The 18,155-nt window shown below is 45.9% G+C and overlaps 1 protein-coding gene and 1 pseudogene across 5 annotated transcripts in view, besides 5 other annotated features; one reads left to right on the top strand and one right to left on the bottom strand.

Moving 5' to 3' along the window:
* Window positions 1-12,810, bottom strand: part of PDS5A (PDS5 cohesin associated factor A) — a 155,049-nt gene extending 142,239 nt beyond the window's left edge. For 2 of the 5 annotated variants that reach the window (XR_001741185.2, XM_047449931.1), the window contains exons 1-2: window positions 12,147-12,167; window positions 11,339-11,516 (exon numbers count right to left, since the gene is read on the bottom strand). Coding sequence is in view for 4 of the 5 variants with exons in the window: in XM_047449931.1 (XP_047305887.1) it covers window positions 11,339-11,476 (138 nt within the window). In the remaining variant the exon portion in view is untranslated. Of the gene's footprint in view, window positions 1-11,338; window positions 11,517-12,146; window positions 12,168-12,355 lie in introns of those variants that run through there. The other 3 variants (NM_001100399.2, NM_001100400.2, XM_011513672.3) reach the window with 2 other exon arrangements.
* Window positions 5,688-5,982: a silencer, noted in NCBI's record as "tiled region #4409; K562 Repressive DNase matched - State 5:Enh". NCBI's record gives its function as "represses a minimal TATA promoter and a strong SV40 promoter by Sharpr-MPRA in K562 cells {active_cell/tissue: K562}" and the evidence as "EXISTENCE:reporter gene assay evidence [ECO:0000049][PMID:27701403]".
* PABPC1P1 (poly(A) binding protein cytoplasmic 1 pseudogene 1) lies at window positions 8,342-9,238 on the top strand (annotated as a pseudogene).
* Window positions 11,149-12,057: an enhancer, noted in NCBI's record as "NANOG-H3K27ac hESC enhancer chr4:39977870-39978778 (GRCh37/hg19 assembly coordinates)". NCBI's record gives its function as "activates a minimal SCP1, AML or CMV promoter by ChIP-STARR-seq in primed H9 embryonic stem cells {active_cell/tissue: H9 hESC(primed)}" and the evidence as "EXISTENCE:reporter gene assay evidence [ECO:0000049][PMID:30033119]".
* Window positions 11,149-12,344: a biological region, named in NCBI's record as "NANOG-H3K27ac hESC enhancer GRCh37_chr4:39977870-39978778".
* Window positions 11,595-12,344: a silencer, noted in NCBI's record as "silent region_15373". NCBI's record gives its function as "represses an Ori minimal core promoter by ATAC-STARR-seq in GM12878 lymphoblastoid cells {active_cell/tissue: GM12878}" and the evidence as "EXISTENCE:reporter gene assay evidence [ECO:0000049][PMID:35858748]".
* Window positions 12,395-13,034: a silencer, noted in NCBI's record as "silent region_15374". NCBI's record gives its function as "represses an Ori minimal core promoter by ATAC-STARR-seq in GM12878 lymphoblastoid cells {active_cell/tissue: GM12878}" and the evidence as "EXISTENCE:reporter gene assay evidence [ECO:0000049][PMID:35858748]".

An 18,155-nucleotide genomic window follows, 5' to 3' on the forward strand; every position in this document is an offset into this window, starting at 1 on the left:
GAGCTGGGTTATGACAACAGTACTTTCTTTTAACCAATAGAGTAAGGTAGAGGTGATAATGCCATTTCTGGACCAATTTCTGGCAACCTCCTCCATGGTGTCTTGGAACCCTTAGCCCAACTACTCTGCTAGAAAGACTATGTGGAAAACCCTAAAACTACATCTTACAGAAAAGAACCCAGCTGGGTCCAGCCTTTCAGCTGTTCCCACTAAGGTATCAAGCGTTTAAGTAAAGCCACTGTGGATCATCTAGACCAATCTAGTCACTAGTTGAATACCAATGAGTGAGCCCAGTAGCCATGTGTAGCAGACGCAAGCTAAACCCTGCCTGAATTCCCGATCCACAAAACTGTGAGACAATAAGAAAAGTTGCTCACAATTGCTAAAAAGTGGAAACAATTCAAGTGTTCACTGACAGAGAAACAAAATGTGGTACATACATACAATGGAATATTATTCAGCTTTAAAAGGGAAGGAAGTAATAACACATGCTATAATACGGATGAACCTTAAAGGTATATGCTAAGTGAAATAAGCCAATCACAAAATGACAAATATTGTATGATTTCAATTATTTGAGAGTAAGGTAATCGCTTCTGAGCCTTTTGGCTAAGATCAAGTGGAGAGTAAGTCAAAGTCATCTAGACAAAAAGCAGAATGGTTGTTGCCAGGAGCTGGGGAAGGGAAAAATGAGGAGTTAAGAGTTTAATGGGTAGAGTTCCAGTTGGGGAAGATGAAAAATTCTGGAGATGAATGGTGGTGATGGTTTCACAACAATGTGAATGTACCTAATGCCAAAGAACTGTACACTTAAAAATGATTAAAGTGATAAATTTTATGTTATGTATATTTTACCATAATGAAAATTTTAAAATACCTTTTAAAAAGTTTGTTACACAGCAACAGATAACCAGAACAGTTCTACACAAACAGAAGTCTGAAATAAGAACTATACTGCACTAAGCCTCCCTTCACAAATGTACACTGGCTATTATTTTAGGACATGATTTTAAGAAATCTTGCCTCCCCATTTAATTTTTAATGTTCTGAGCAGAATCTTCTGCAATACAAATATTAAAACATATGAACAGAACTCAGAGTTAAAATTATATACTTAATTACATGCAAAATTATCACACTGTGTAGCAATGAGGGATAAATAAAAATCATTCATGGAAGTAAAAATAATTACAACCAAACCAGTACTTCAGGGGTCCTCCTGGAGGAAAGCAAAGGGAAAGAATTATGGCCGTCCTGCCCTTAATCTGTTCATCACCTCTAACAAGGTTTGTGAGGAAAGGGGGATGGCCCTACGTTAATATCAATTCCACCATATCCTAATTCCCACTAAACCATCAAATAGGCCAGATGAGAATGGTTGATACAGGAAGAAAGATTAGAGAAAATATAAGGAAAATACACCTGGTGGGAAAAAACGAGGATACTTTCACAAAACCCTACTTAATTTTTCGAATTCTTAGCAACAAAACAGTAGGTATTTTTATTTGTTTCTGTGACAGAATAATATAGCAGACCAGGGTAGCTGTATTAATGTCTGGAGCACTGCTCTCTGAGATCAGATAGTTAAGAGAGGAATATAAGAAACAAATTTCAGGCCGGGCATGGTGGCTCATGCCTGTAATCTCAGTCCTTTGGGAGGCCAAGCTGGGTGGATCACTTGAGGTCAGGGGTTCAAGACCAGTCTGGCCAACATGGTGAAACCCCGTCTCTACTAAAAATGCAAAAAATTAGCCGGGTGTAGTGGTGGGTGCCTGTAATCCCAGTTACTCGGGAGGCTGAGGCAGAATTGCTTGAACCTGGGAGGTGGAGGTTGCAGTGAGCTGAGATTTTGCCACTGCACTCCAGCCTGGGAAACAAGAGTGAAATTCCCTTTCAAAAAATAAAGAAAAAAAAAATTTCAGGCTGGGTGTGGTGGCTCACGCCTGTAATCCCAGCGCTTTGGGAGGCCGAGGTGGGTGGATCACTTGAGGTCAGGAGCTCGAGACCAGCCTGGCCAACAAGATGAAACTCCATTTCCACCAAAATATAAAAAGTTAGCTAGGTGTGGTGGCACGCACCTGTAATCCCAACTACTCAGGAGGCTGAAGCAGGAGAATTGCTTGAACCTGGGAGACAGAGGTTGCAGTGAGCCAAGAGCTTGCCACTGTACTCTAGCCTGGGCAACAGAGTGAGATTCCATCTCAAAAAGAAAAGAAAAGAAACAAATTTCACTCTATCCATCCCTCCGTTTAAAAATCAAGAAATGCCTGGCGTGGTGGCTTATGCCTGTAATCCCAACACTTTCGGAAGCCGAGGTGGGTGGATCACGAGGTCAGGGGTTCGAGACAAGCCTGACCAACATGGTGAAACCCCGTCTCTATTAAAAATACAAAATATTAGCCAAGCCTGGTGGTGCACGCCTGTGACCCCAGCTACTCAGGAGGCTGAGGCAGGCGAATTGCTTGAACTCAGGAGGCGGAAGTTGCAGTGAGCCAAGATCGCGCCACTGCACTCCAGCCTGGGCGACAGAGCAAGACTCCATCTCAAAAAATAAATAAATAAAATAAAAATAAAAAGGCCAGGCACAGTGGCTCTCTCCTGTAATCCCAGAACTGTGGGAGGCCAAGGCAGGCAGATTATGAGGTCAGGAGTTCGAGACCAGCCTGGCCAACATGGTGAAACCCCGTCTCTAACTAAAAATACAAAAATTAGCTGGGTGTGGTGGCAGAAGCCTGTAGTCCCAGCTACTCAGGAGGCTGAGCTGAGATTGCGCCACTGCACTCCAACCTGGCAACAGACCGAGAGACTCCATCTTAAAAACAAACAAACAAACAAACAAAAAAAACACCAATAATTATCAAGGCCCTCTTACCTCCAAAGTAGCAAGAAAGAAAGAAACAAAGTATGTGTATAGTAAATAGCTCTGTAGTAATCCATGATATAGGATATACTACATAACTAACTTAATTCCATTAAGCCCTTTATGGAATTTGCACAGCTATTTATAAGTGTATTTTATTTTTTTAATTTTTATTGTAAATGAGGTTTTGCCATATTGCCCAAGCTGGTCTCAAACTCCTGAGCTCAAGTGATCTGCCCGTTTCAGCCTCCCAAAGTGCTGGAAATACAGGCATAAGCCAGAGGACACCAGACCTATAAGTGTATTTTAAATGTCACTTATTAGATGTGAACCCTGTATTAGTTTCAGAACCCACAACTATATGGGAGGATGGCTATTTGTGATTCTTTTTTTTTTTTTTTGAGATGGAGTTTCGCTCTTGTTGCCCAGGCTGGAGTGCAATGGTGCTTAGATTACTTAATTATAATATTAATTTTTTTTTTTTTTTTGAGACAGAGTTTCACTGTTGTTGCCCAGGCTGGAGTGCAATGGCACCATGTCGGCTCACCACAACCTCCGCCTCCTGGGTTCAAGCGATTCTCCTGCCTCAGCCTCCTGAGTAGCTGAGATTACAGGCATGCGCCACCACACCCGGCTAATTTTATATTTTTAGTAGAGACAGGGTTTCTCCACGTTGGTCAGGCTGGTCTCGAACTCCCGACCTCAGGTGATTCACCCACCTCGGCCTTCCAAAGTGCTGGGATTACATGCATGAGCCACTGTGCCCGGCCTGTAATATGAATTTTTTAAAAAATCACTTGCTCAGTGTATGCTTTTACTTTTTTTTTTTCTCGTGACAGAGTCTTGCCCTGTCCCCCAGGCTGGAGTGCAGTGGCGTGATCTCGGCTCACTGCAACCTCTGCCTCCCAGGTTCAAGGGATTCTACTGCCCCAGCCTCCTGAGTAGCTGGGATTACAGGCATGTGCCACCACACCCAACTAATTTTATATTTTTAGTAGAAACGGGGTTTCTCCATGTTGGTCAGGCTGGTCTTGAACTCCTGACCTCAGGTGATCCGCCCGCCTAGGCATCCCAAAGTGCTGGGATTACAGGCGTAAGCCACCGTGCCAGCTATTTGTGATTCTTAATGTAACAATGATACTAAACTATTGGCCATCCTTCCACATAGCTAACTTTAGTATGGTTTTAATATTTGTCAATTAATATATAATTGTAACTTCTATTATCTAAGTAGCAGAAGTTAATGACACTTTTCAGCTTTAGGTGACTAGCGTTGTTCACAACCTATCAAATGGTCAGTTTCTTCACCTGAAAAATTAGAACAGAAATACATAACCTCTGAACTACCTGTTGACTCCAAAATTCTAAGTACTGTACCTATGTTACCATCTCTAAGACACAAACTCCTTAGTTTGAAAAGTCCTAGCCAGGCAGAGTGGCTCACGCCCTAATCCCAGCACTTTGGGAGGTCGAGGTGGGTGGATTACCTGAGGTCACCAGTTCGAGACCAGCCTGACCAACATGGTAAAACCCCGTGTCTACTAAAAATACAAAGTTAGCCAGGCGTGGTGGTGGATGCCTATAATCCCAGCTATTCAGGAGGCTGAGGCAGGATAATCACTTGAACCCAGGAAGCAGAGGTTGCAGTGAGCCGAGATCAGGCCATTGCACTCCAGCCTGGGCAACAAGAGCAAAACTTGGTCTCAAAAAAAAGGAAAGTCCTTAGCTGCAATTTGAAATTTTTTCAAATTATCCTTTACTTTCAAAAATAAAAATATTTCTCTAATTCAGTATTAATACAAAATATTCATTCATTCACTTAACAAGTATTTGTTCAGCACCCAATTATGTGCCAGGCATTAAGCTTGGCACTGAGAGGAATGAAAAACAGACACGGTATCTGTATTAATAAGGTTTACAGAGAAGCTAAAGAGACAAACCAAATAAATGTATGGATAAATGTAATATGAAGGAGTTGAAGGGTATGTAATGTAGAATCTTTTTTTTTTTTTTTTGAGACAGAGTCTCGCCCTGTTGCCCAGGCTGGAATGCAGTGATGTGATCTCGGCTCCAAGAAAAAGGGTTTCACTATGTTGGTCAGACTGGTCTCGAACTCTTGACCTCGTGATCCACCCACCTTGGCCTCCCAAAGTGCTGGGATTACAGGCGTGAGCCACCGCGCCCAGCCTGTAATGTAGAACCTTAAAGGCTTCCCTTAAGAAGTAACAAATGAATGACAAATGAACACATGGGCTATTTAATGTAAGGAACCTGTCTAGACAGAAATAAACATGGCATGTTCAGGAAACCAACCGAAGACCACTGTGGCCTGACATAACAAAAATAGGTAAAGTAATGCCCTGGAAACAGGAATGAAAAGCTCTAGTATAGGAAAACATATCTTAGCTCTTTCAAAGACATACTCTAAGAATTATTGTCAACGAAGCTTCAAAGCTTCACAATAGTTTCTCTCAAATGCTTAAAAAAAAAAAAAAAGCTGTCCTTTTTCTCCCTACAAAAGACCAAACTCACTCTCATTCTCTTCACATTTCACTGTAATGTCTTCAACTACATGATAAAAGTTACAACTTTTTAGTTCTACTTAGTTTAGATTCCTTAGAAGAAAGCAACTATATAACAACCAAAGTAAATATGGCGTTATTGCCCCTGCCCTCTGCCACTAAACTGCCCTGTGACTGATTTTGGTAAAGGTTACTTGAATACTTTGGCCTAACTTTCATTATCTGTGAAGTAAGAGGAGGTTCCAGAATTTCCTTTAAGATCCTTCTAATTCTAAGATTATGGTTCCACTGTAAAACCGCTTGTTCCTTTTTTTTTTTTTTTTTTTTTTTTTAAGACAAGGTCTCACTCGGTCACCCAGGCTGGAGTGCAGTGGTAGGATCACGGTTCACTGCAGCCCTGACCTTCCTGGGCTTGAGTGATCCTCCCACCTCACCCTCCTGAGTAGCTACGACCATATTTGCATTTTTTGTAGAGATAGGTTTTTGTCATGTTGCCCAGGCCTATCTCAAATTCCTGGGCTCAAGTGTTCCTCCCACCTTGACCTCCTGAAGTGCTGGGATTACACAGGCATGAGCCACCACACCCAGCCTTGTTCCATTCTTGAAAACTGACGAGAACAGGACCAAACACCGCTGAATTCCTTTGTAATTGCCTTTAAGATGTTTTTTGTTTTGTTTTGTTTGTTTGTTTTCGAGACAGAGTCGCGCTTTGTCACCCAGGCTGGAGTGCAGTGGTGGGATCTTGGCTTACTGCAAGCTCCGCCTCCTGGGTTCATGCAATTCTGCCTCAGCCTTCCAAGTAGCTGGGACTACAGGCCCCGCCACCACGCCTGGATAATTTTTTTGTATTTTTAGTAGAGATGGGATTTCACCTGTGTTAGCCAGGATGGTCTCGATCTCCTGACCTCATGATCCACCCGCCTCGGCCTCCCAAAGTGCTGAGATTACAGGCGTGAGCCACCGCACCGGGCCTGCCTTTAAGGTCTTTTTTAATGAGACAGAGTCTCACTCTGCTGTCACCCAGGCTATAGTGCAGTGGCATAATGCCTCACTGCAACCTCTGCCTCCTGGGTTTAAGTGATTCTCATGCCTCAGCCACAGGAGTAGCTGAGATTACAGAGGTGTGCCACCACACCTGGCTAATTTTTGTATTTTTAGTAGAGATGGGGTTTCACCATGTTGGCCAGGCTGGTCTCGAACTCCTGAGCTCAAGAGATCCACCTGCCTTGGCCTCCCAAAGGGCTAGGATTACAAGCATGAGCCCCTGCGTCCGGGCTTAAGCTCTCTTTGTGTTTGTACAGCATTTCAACACTGTTGCTATGTTATAATAATAATAAACTCCTGAATTTATAAAATTATCAATAACTAAGATTCTAATAAAAAAACAAAATTTCAAAAATACTTAAGTATTGTTAAAAATCTACATTTCCAATGAGACATAATACTTTAAAGAAGGATCCCTAATTAAGTACAAAGTCAAAATAGAAAGGAAGGCAGAAGAAATACAAAATCAAAAGAATTTTTCAGAAAACATTTTGGCAGTAGGACATTGAAGTTGGTTGATATGAACGTCGATTTTAACTTCCAAAAGAACTCATAACAAATGGATAATCAAACTCGATGCTCATTCTCCACTGGATTGTATGTCCATTTATAGTTAACAGTACTTCTGATAATCGATTTTCAAACAGAAAATGTACATAAGTAGTCATAACTTTCCCAACACACCTTAAAAAAATAATATTGAGACACGGTTGGCTGGGCGCGGTGGCTCACGCCTGTAATCCCAGCACTTTGGGAGGCCGAGGTGGGCGGATCACGAGGTCAAGAGTTCGAGACCAGCCTGACCAACATAGTGAAACTCCGTCTCTACTAAAAATACAAAAATTAGCTGGGCATAGTGGCACGCACCTCTAATCCCAGCTACTTGGGAGGCTGGGGCAGGAGAATCGCTTGAACCCGGGAGGCGGAGTTTGCAGTGAGCCAAGATTGCACCACTGCATTCCAGCCTGGGCGACAGGGCGAGACTCCGTCTCAAAAAATAAATAAATAAATAAAAAATAAAAATAAAATTGAGACAGGGTCTATGTTGCCCAGGTCTGAACCTCCTGGGCTCAAATGATCCTCCTGCCTCAGCCCTCAAAATGCTGGGATTACAGGCATGAGCCCCTGTACCCAACCACAACTTTCCTTTTTTTTTTTTTCACTGTTTAAGGAATTTTTTATTAAAAAAAGAATTTTATAATCCAAATTACGCTTCCTTGCTCAGTTATCAATTCTGTTACTTAAAACAGAACTGATATTTTGAGCTATTCCACAGTAAAGATTACAAGGAATGCTTTAAATTTTTGTACTTTGCTGAAAATTATTTTTCCCAGGATCTATAAAACATTAATTTGTCTTTATATTTTATTATTTTTTGTGGGGTTTTTTTTGTTGTTTGTTTTTAAATCAATAAGTAATCTAGGACTAATATTATGTTTGCTAGACCTGGCATTTGCTCGGTACATAATGTTCAAAGTTTCCTTTCCTTTTTAAATTTATTTTATATTTTGCAATTTTTTTTTCCATATTTAAGTTTTTCGATGTTTAGATATTTTTCTTTGGTGAAGCACAAGTTTCTTTTCGTGGTCTCTGATCAATTTTAAACAGCAGGAACACCAATGGCACTGTTAACTGCTTTCTGGGTAGCCTCTTTAGCTTGGTGGGCTTGTAATATAGCTAGCTTCATGAACCTTAGAACAGAGTGACTCTGGACTCTCGAGCATATGAACATTTGCTTTTGCTCTTGAGGGGCAGATGCCAACATGGAAGCAGTCAAAGGTTCCTGACCTTGTACATGAACAGCAGGCTGTTGCATTGTAACTTGTGGCTGTGCATTAAGATGTTGCTGAGGATTGCGAACTCCCGCAGCATATTTATACTGTGGAACGGTGTGGACAGCAGGAGTAGCTGCAGCCAGCAGATACCAGGGTGTTAATATTTACGTGAAAAATCTTGATGATAGTATTGATGATGAACGTCTCCAGAAAGAGTTTTCTCCATTTGGTACAATCACTAGTGCAAAGGCTATGATGGAGGGTGGTCACAGCAAAGGGTTTGGTTTCGTATGTTTCTCCTTCCCGGAAGAAGCCACTAAAGCAGTTACAGAAATGAACGGTAGAACTGTGGCCACAAAACCATCGTATGTAGCTTTAGCTCAGCGCAAAGAAGAGTGCCAGGCTCACTTCACTAACCAGCATATGCAGAGAATGGCAAGTGTACGAGCTGTGCCCAACCATGTAATCAACCCCTACCAGCCAGCACCTCCTTCAGGTTACTTCATGGCAGCTATTCCACAGACTCAGAACCGTGCTGCAAGACCGGGCGCGGTGGCTCACGCCTGTAATCCCAGCACTTTGGGAGGCCAAGAGGGGCAGATCACGAGGTCAGGAGATCGAGACCATCCTGGCTAACACGGTGAAACCCGTCTCTACTAAAAAAATACAAAAAATTAGCCGGGCATGATGGCGGGCGCCCGTGGTCCCAGCTACTCGGGAGGCTGAGGCAGGAGAATGGCGTGAACCCGGGAGGCGGAGCTTACAGTGAGCCGAGATCGCACCCACTCCAGCCTGGGCGACAGAGCGAGACTCTGTCTCAAAAATAAATAAAAACCGTGCTGCATACTCTCCTCCTAGCCAAACTGCTCTACTGAGACCAAGTCCTCGCTGGACTGCTCAGGGTGCCAGACCTCATCCATTCCAATATGCCAGGTGCTATCCCCAAGCTGCTCCTATACCACCACTTAATACTATGAGACCAGCTTCTTCACAGGTTCCATGAGTCATGTCAACAGAGCGGTTGCTAACACATCAACTTTCCATTTTTTAACCAAATTATCCAACATTAGAATTCAAGGTTTCAATATTCTTAATTTGAAAACAATAAATATTAACGATCCATCAATTGTTTAAGTTTTATATTTCATAATTTCTCACTCCCAAAACAGTGTAACTTTTAGAAGCATCAATCAAGCAGCTCAATTCATGTATAATCTTTAGTATCAATATTTGCTTTATTTATTTTATTTTACTTTTTTGAGATGAAGTTTCACTCCTGTTGCCCAGGCTGGAGTGCAATGGCGCGATCTCCGCTCATCAAAACTTCCGCCTCCCGGGTTCAAGCGATTCTCCTGCCTCAGCCTCCCAGTAGCTAGGATTACAGGTATGCGCCACCACGCCCAGCTAATTTTGTATTTTTAGTAGAACTCCAGACCTCGGGTGATTTGCCTGCCTCGGCCTCCCGAAGTGCTGGGATTACAGGCTGGAGCCACCACACCAGGCCCAAGATTTGTTTTAATGAAAGGGGCTGGGAGCAGTGGCTCACACCTGTAATCGCAGCATATTGGGAGGCCGATGCAGGCAGATCATTCGAAGTCAGGAGATCGAGACCAAAGTGACCAACATAGTGAAATCCCATCTCTACTAAAAATACAAAAATTAGCTGGGCGTGGTGGCAGGCACCTGTAATCCCAGCTACTAGAGAGGCTGAGGCAGAATTGCTTGAACCCGGGAGGTGGAGGTTGCAGTGGGCCGAGACGCGCCACTGCACTCCAGCCTAGGTGACAGAGCAAGACTCCGTCTCAAAAAAAAAAAAAAAAAAAAAATTTAGCCGGGTGTGGTGGCACACGCTGGTAGTCCCAGCTACTTGGGAGGCTGAGGCAGAATAGCTTGAACCTGGGAAGTGGAGGTTGCAGTGAGCTGAGATCCCGCCGCCGCACACAGATTTGTTTTAATGAAAGGAACTGTTGTCTTATTCCTTCCAAAAAGGCAACAAATTGCAGAACCAAATTAAGAGTCTGAAAACTAAACCACAGGAATATTTTAAATACTGTACTCATTAAAATGCAACATTAGGTACATTTACTGGGCTCCAAGAGCAAGAGGCCAAGCTCATTCCCTAAAATACATTTGGCCAAGTGGCCCAAGGTGGAAACATTGTCAACAATGTTGCTTCCCTCACCTCCCACCAATTCTGATTGATTCTAACTCTGAAAAGTTGTTAAATCATTTCCTAGTCACTATTACCAATGCCATAGCCCTACCTGAAGATTTCAACGTCTTTCACCTAGACTACTGTTTACAGTTTCCTAGCCGGACTCACTGCCTCTGGTCTTCCCCTACTCCAATCTAGCACCAATTGTGACAACCAAAATGTCTCCAGCATTGCCAAACATCTCCTGGAGGTCAAAGTTGCCCTGACTCAGAACCACTGCTTCAAGCTGTTCCTACAAGAAGAATATTACTTATTTGTTAAGATTCTGGCCACAATCTATGTCAGTGGAACAGAAACCAAAAAAACTAACAAACATGAGGTTGAAATTTAAAACCTTAACCTTAGGACTGCCATGCTTAAACAAAATTAGCTGACACCTCATAAAAAGGGCCATAATACTCTTAAACTCCTTTGAACGTATAGACTTAAATCATCTTACTTTAAGCCTGAATTATGAAAAGTCTGTACCTTCTGTCAAAGTTTAACCACCATATATACATATTTAAGCTTCTGGATATAGAAAATTATGCAAATTTTTAAAAAGGACTTTGCGCTTTAATCAATCCCCTTCAGAAGCTGAAAATAGTAAACTTCTTAGGCAAATTACTGCCTACACCTAAGTTTGCAAGCCACTCTGAACAGTATTCTCATTAAATACCTCCAGAAAAAACTCTAAAAACACAAATTCTTATGCTTGAAAACCAGTAAGTTTTTGAAAAATCACACTCCTTTTAAATTTCCCACAATGGTTATATCCCTACAAAACTCACTCAAAGATGTTATCTGAGATACAACAGTACCTTTCAGAGGGGGTAAGAGATCTAAAAAACTTGGAACTTTAAAGGCCAGACTGAGCAGGGTAGCAGTATCACAGGAGAAAGCGCCTTCTACCAAAGACATCAAAATCCGTCCAGACACTTACCTTCAGGCGTTTGATCATCTCGTCCGTGGTGATCTTGTCGGTGATCTCTTTTACCCCCGGAGGGTAAGCGATCTTCCCGTCGGCACTCACGACGCCACAGAGGGCAGTGGCAGGCTTGGGCTGCGCGGTGAAGTCCATCCTGGGGGACAACTTTTGGTTCACAGTCCTCTACCGGCCTCTATCGGTCAGAAAACCAAAGTTCAGCGGGAAAGGGGCGACTTTGTAACCTCTTTTTTCATTTCAAATCTCTCTAATCTGGAAAAGGCCCTGTCTCCCCAGAGGCCGGGGACCCGGCAGCGGCCTCGCCACCCGCTCTTTCCCAGGGATCGAACCCCGCCGGCCCCGCCAACCCGGCCCTGCCAGCCCCAGGCTCACGGGGCTCCTCCGCACCAGCCGCCGTGGCCGCCGAACAGCGCCAGGAGTTTCCCATTCCGCCTTTCACAATGAAATCCACCCCCGAGCACCAGGGTCCGAAGTTTGGCGGCCCCGGGAGGCCGGCAAGGACCCCAAGGCCCCCGCTCGGCGGTGGGGAAGCACCCAGTCCCGCCCGGCCAGTCCCCTCCGGGAAACCAGACCCGAGGCCTATAGGGCTCGGCTTAGGCCGCAAAACTAGGGACCCAGCGGACCCACGCGCAGCGGCGGCTGCCGGGAACAAAACGCCCTTGCCCAGCCGAGCCTCGGACCCGGGGTAGTCCCCGCCGCGCTGCCACCCCTCCCCTGTTCCGCTCCCTCACCCCCGCGGGAGGGGAAAACAAGCCGCCCTCCACCCTCAGCCCCACGCCAGGAAGCGGCTGACGCGCCTCCGCACTTCACATTTTGTTCCTTCAACTTCGGCTGAGGGACCCCAGCTGCTTCTCTGGCCCCCGGCCGCTTGGCGCCTCCGGCACCGCCGAGGCCTTCCCGGCACCCTCGGGCGGCCCCACCGGGCCTCGGACCCGCGGCCCCCCCCTCCAGTCTCCCCTTCCGTCCCCTCCCTCCAGCAGCCTAGGGCGGGAGCCGAGCCGCCGCCGCCTTTACCTCCTCCTCATGCGGGCGGAAGGTGCATCGAGCGCCCGGGCCTCTGTCAGGTGGTTGCGCCGCCGCCCCTAGTCGGGCTGCACACAAAGCGGCTCCGCGGGTCCCGCCGCCGCCGCCGCCGCCGCCCGCCCGCCCGGGAGCGGCGCTGGGGCTGGCGGTGCCGAGGAGGAGCAGCCGCCGCGGGGGGAGACGCGGGGCGAGTGAGCGCTGGGCGGGGAGACAGTGCCGCTCTCCGTCTGGCCGAGGAAGAGCAGCCTCGAAGGCTCCTCCGGGAGTGTGTGCGCTTGTGTCCGTCCGGGACCCCCGCGGCCCGCCCGCACGCACCTCGCGCCGGCCCGGACCGCCGACTCGGACCCGGACGCCCCTCGCAGAGGCGCGCGCCCGGCCGTCCGTGCCCCGGGAGCCGGGGCCTCGCGCACACACCGGCCGGTCACGCGAGCGGCGCGAGAGCACGCGAGAGCAGCGCGCGCTCCTCGCTCCCTCCCCTTCCTCCGCCGGCCGTGCATCCGCCTCCCTCGGGCCCGAGGCGGCCGCGCGCAGGGCGGACAGCGCCGCCACCCGGTTGGCGCCAATACCTGCCGCGCGGGGCGCCTCCCGGAGGACCCGACCGGAGAGGGCGAGAGGAGGAGGAGCCCGGGTGGCGGGAAGCGAGCCCAGGTTCCCGCGGCCTTGCGAGGGCACGCAGGGCAAACAGTGCTTTATCTTTCGCAGCGGCGATGAGCTGGTGACTTTTGGGGGTCATCCTGAGGGACATAGACGAAACTGGTTGGGAGGTAGTTAATTGCTCGGTGAAAATGAACTGATTTCCTCCTCAGGGAGAGATCTGCAAAGTCAAGGAAAGTTGTGCAATGGGGCGCAGCGTGAGCGGCTCACTCTCGGGTCTTCTGACAGCCACCCGAGTTGCCCACCCTCCTTAGATTTCTGAAGTTAATATTTTGAAAGCTGCAAAACATGAAAATAGCATTGGGTCGAGTCGTTCTCAAGGTATGGTCTTTGGGCCACCAGGCCTCACAATCACTTTGGGTACTGGCTGAAAACGTAGGTTTCCAACTCCAAAGATTAAAAAACATAAAAATATATGTTTTTTTAACGTAAAAATATATATGAACATAAAACATATAAAAATATAACATATAAAATAAAACACTAAAAAATATAAAAATATACATAAACATAAAAATCTCTGAGAGTGGAACCCAGAAATAAGCATTTATTAATTGGGTGGGTGATTCTTGTAAATAAGGAAGAGCTCATTTTTTAAAAATGTTTTAAACCTACCAAGCATTAACGTTTTCTGTCATCCAAAGGAAAACCACTATCAGGTAAAAACAGTGCACGCAGCAGTGTTTGAGCAATTTAATGTATGTAATTGAAACAAATTAACGCAAGAACATACACTTACCTATTTAAAAAAAATCAAGAGCATACACAAAATTTCCGAAGAGAAAGTTGAAAAAAGGATACGATAATATGAAATCACATTCAGCTCTTGAAACTGACCACTACCATAGTTTAAAATGATATTCGATTGTTTATTCAAATTATTCTTGATGGGTACCCATTGGTCTATTTTTTTCCCACATCCTTTAACGTCAACTTAAAAATAGTAAAGGTACTGCATTTCAGCTCACTGACTTGTTTTTGACGTATTACACAAGAGCAGTCATTGCGAATCTGACACTCCACAGTTGCTGATTTGCTAGAACTCTGCCCAAAAGTCAATGCTTTGTTCTTGGGCATTTACAGTACCAGGCAGAATCCATTTAAAAGTGTCCTCATCCAAACTATTAAGTGGACCAAAAGCTGCTCTCTTTTTAGGCTCTCCCTGTCACTTTTGATATTTATTTTTTTCTTTTGAGACGGAATCTTACTCTGTCACCCAGGCTGGAGTGCAGTGGCGTGATATCGGCTCACTGCAAGCTCTGCCTCCCGGGTTCACGCCATTCTCCTGCCTCAGTCTTCCGAGTAGCTGGGACTACAGGCGCCCGCCACCACGCCCGGCTAATTTTTTTTTTTTGTATTTTTAGTAGAGACGGGGTTTCACCATGTTAGCCAGGATGGTCTCGATCTCCTGAGCTAGTGATCCGCCCGCCTCGGCCTCCCAGAGTGCTGGGATTACAGGCATGAGCCACCGCGCCCGGCCAAATTTGATATTTCTTTGTGTGTTACATTTAATTAAACAACAATGATTTTATCTTTCATCCTCCTCAGTAGCTTGCCCATTATTAAATGGAGTTTTGTATATGTACATATATTTTATTTTATTTATTTTTTATATTATTTTATTATTTTTTGAGATGAAGTCTCACTTTGTCGCCCAGACTGCAGTGCAGTGGCATGATCTCGGCTCACTACAGCATCCGCCTCCCAGGTTCAAGCGACTTTTGTGCCTCAGGCCCCCAAGTAGTTGGGACTACAGGTGTGTGCCACCATACCGGGCTAATTTTTTTTTGAGACAGAGTCTCCCTCTGTCGCCCAGGCTGGAGTGTGGTGGTGTGATCTTGGCTCACTACAACCTCTGACTTCTGGGTTCAAGCAATTCTCCTGCCTCACCCTCCCAAGTAGCTGGGATTACAGGCGCCCGCCACTATGCCCGGCTAATTTTTGTTATTTTTAGTAGAGACAGGGTTTCACCATGTTGGTCAGGCTGGTCTCAAACTCCTGACCTCAGGTAATCTGCCCGCCTCACCCTCCCAAAGTGCTGGGATTACAGGCTTGAGCCACCGTGCCTGGCCTTACTGGTTGATTTCTTTTTTTTTTTTTTTAACATGGAGTCTCACTCTATCACCAGGCTTGAGTGCAGTGGTGCGATCTCGGTTCACTTCACCTCTGCCTCCCAGGTTCAAGCGATTCATCTGCCTCAGTCTCCCAAGTAGCTGGGACTACAGGCGTACACCACCACGCCCAGCTTATTTTTATATTTTTAGTAGAGATGGAGTTTCACCATATTGGCCAGGCTGATCTCGAATTCCTGACCTCGTGATTTGCCCGCCTCGGCCTCCCAAAGTGCTGGGATTACAGGTGTGAGCCCCTGCGCCTGGCCTATTTTATTTTTTCGAGACGAAGTCTTGCTCTGTTGCCCAGGCTGGAGTGCAGTGGTACAATCTGGGCGCACTGCAACCTACGCCTCCTGGGTTCAAGCAGATCTCCTGCGTCAGCCTCCCAAGATCTGGGACTACAGGCATGCGCCACCACGCCTGGCTAATTTTTGTACTTTTAGTAGAGACAGGGTTTTACCATGTTGGCCAGCCTGGTCTCGAACTCTTGACCTTAGGTGATCCACCCACCTTGGGCTCCCAAAGTGCTGGAATTACAGGCATGAGCCACTGCACCCAACCTCCACCAAGCTTTTCTTCCCCGCTCAGTGCCCAAAACAATGCCTTATATTATAGGCCTCTTTAAATAATTGTTTCACAAATGAAGGCCTGCCCTCCTGGTGGACCTTAATTTGTTTGGGGAGAAATAGACCAAAATAACAATAATACATGTATATGAAAATAAAGTAGGGAAGAGTTGGGCACGGTGGCTCGCACCTGTAATCCCAGCACTTTGGGAGGGGGAGGCAGGCAGACTATTTGAGGTCACGAGTTTCAGACCAGCCTGGCCAGCATGGTGAAACCCCATCTCTATTAAAAAGACAAAAAATTAGACTCAGTGGCTCAGGCACGGTGGCTCAGGACTGTAATCCCAGCACTTTGGGAAGCCGAGGTGGGTGGATCACCTGAGGTCAGGAGTTCCAGACCAGCCTGACCAACATGGTGAAACCCTGTCTCCACTAAAAATACAAAAATTAGGCAGGCGCACTGGCACATGTCTGTAATCCCAGCTACTAAGAAGGCTGAGGCAGGAGAATCGTTTGAACCGGGGAGATGGAGGTTGCAGCGAGCTGAGAAAGCACCACTGCACTCCAGCCTGGGCGACAGAGTGAGACTCCCTGGAGTGAGAGAGAGTACAGATCACATGTAGCCTTTTAGACCTCTGGTAAGACTGTGGCTATCCTCTGATTGAGGTGGGGAACTAATGGACTGTTTTAAGCAAAGAGGTGATATGATGTATGTCCTGAGTTAGGCAATGTTGGTCAAACCACTTAATTCTTCTGTGCCTCATTTTCTTCATCTGTAAAACAAGGATAATGATAGTATCTTCCTCACATGATCATTATGAGGAATACATAACTTAATTTTTTTTTCTGTCGCCCAGGCTGGAGTGCAGTGTTGCAGTCTCGGCTCACTGCAACCTCTGCCTCCCAGGTTCAAGTGATTCTCTTGCCTCAGCTTCCCTAGTAGCTGTGATTACAGGCACGCACCACCATGCCCAGCAATTTTTTGTATTTTTAGTGTGATGGGATTTCACCATGTTGGCCAGGCTGCTCTTGAACTCCCGACCTCAGGTGATCCGCCCGCCTTGGCCTCCCAAAGTGCTAAGATTACAGGTGTGAGCCCCTGCGCCTGGCCATAAGTTAATATTTGTAAAATGCCTAGAATAGTAACTCGCATATACTAAGCTCTACATAATTTTTTTTAATAAAATAAAATAAAAAAATCAAAGAGTTTTATGTGGTTAATAATTGCACAAAGGGGTGGCTTTGTGAGTCTTTATTCTACCTCCCACATAATTTCAATCAGTGTCCCCCTCACACATACATTCAGTTATATAATCTATGTACAAAATTGCGTCCAATGCAATTTGAGGACAAACCCCTAACCCCCAATTTCACTACAGCTCCTTCTATATACAAATTCTAGAGCTCCTGACCAACATGGCAAAACCTCATCTCTACTAATATATATATATATATTTGCATATATATATATATGCAAAAATTAGCCTGGTGGGGTGGCGCACACCTGTAGTCCTAGCTACTTGGGAGGCTGAGGCATCAGAATTGCCTGACTCTGGGAAGCAGGGGTTGCAGTGAGCCGAAATTGCACCACTGCACTCCAGCCTGGGCGACAGAGAAAGACTCCGTCTAAAAAAAAAAAAAAGACCTGAGCACGGTGGCTCACGCCTGTACTCCCAGCACTTTGGGGGGCCGAGGCAGGCAGATAACCTCAGGTCAGGAGTTTGAGACCAGCCTGGCCAACCTGGTGAAACCCCATCTCTACTAAAAATACAAAAATTAGCTGAGCAGGGTAATGGGCACCTGTGTAATCCCAGCTATTCAGGAGGCTGAGACAGGAGAATCACTTGAACCTGGGAGGCAGAGCTTGCAGTGAGCTGAGATCGTGCCATTGCACTCCAGCCTTGGTGACACAGTGAGACTCAGTCTCAAAAAAAAGAAAAAAAAAAAAAAAAGAAGAAGAAAGTAAGAAATTCTAGAGCAAAAATCTAGGGCAGTTCTGTCCAATAGAAATTTCTGCAGCAATAGAAATGTTCCACACATACATTGTCCAGAATAGTAGCCACCAGCCATACGTGACTGTGCAGCACTTGGAAAGTGGCTAGTGCCACGAGAGAAGTGAATTTTTAATTTAATTTATTTTGATTACTTTCTTTTGTTGTTGTTGTTATGAGACAGTCTTGCTCTGTTGCCCAGGCTGGAGTGCAGTGGCACAATCTCGGCTAACTACAACTTCCGCCTCCTAGGTTCAAGTGATTCTCCTGCCTTAGCCTCCTGAGAAGCTGGGATTACAGGTGCCCGCCACCACCCGGCATATTTTTGTATTTTTAGTAGAGATAGGGTTTCCCATGTTGGCCAGGATGGTCTTGAACTCCTGACCTCAAGTGATCTGCCCACCTGGGCCTCCCAAAGTGCTGGGATTACAGGCATGAGCCACCAAGCCTGACCCTAAATATTTTC

The sequence above is a fragment of the Homo sapiens genome, chromosome 4, assembly GCF_000001405.40.
Source record: "Homo sapiens chromosome 4, GRCh38.p14 Primary Assembly".
NCBI lineage: Eukaryota > Metazoa > Chordata > Mammalia > Primates > Hominidae > Homo > Homo sapiens.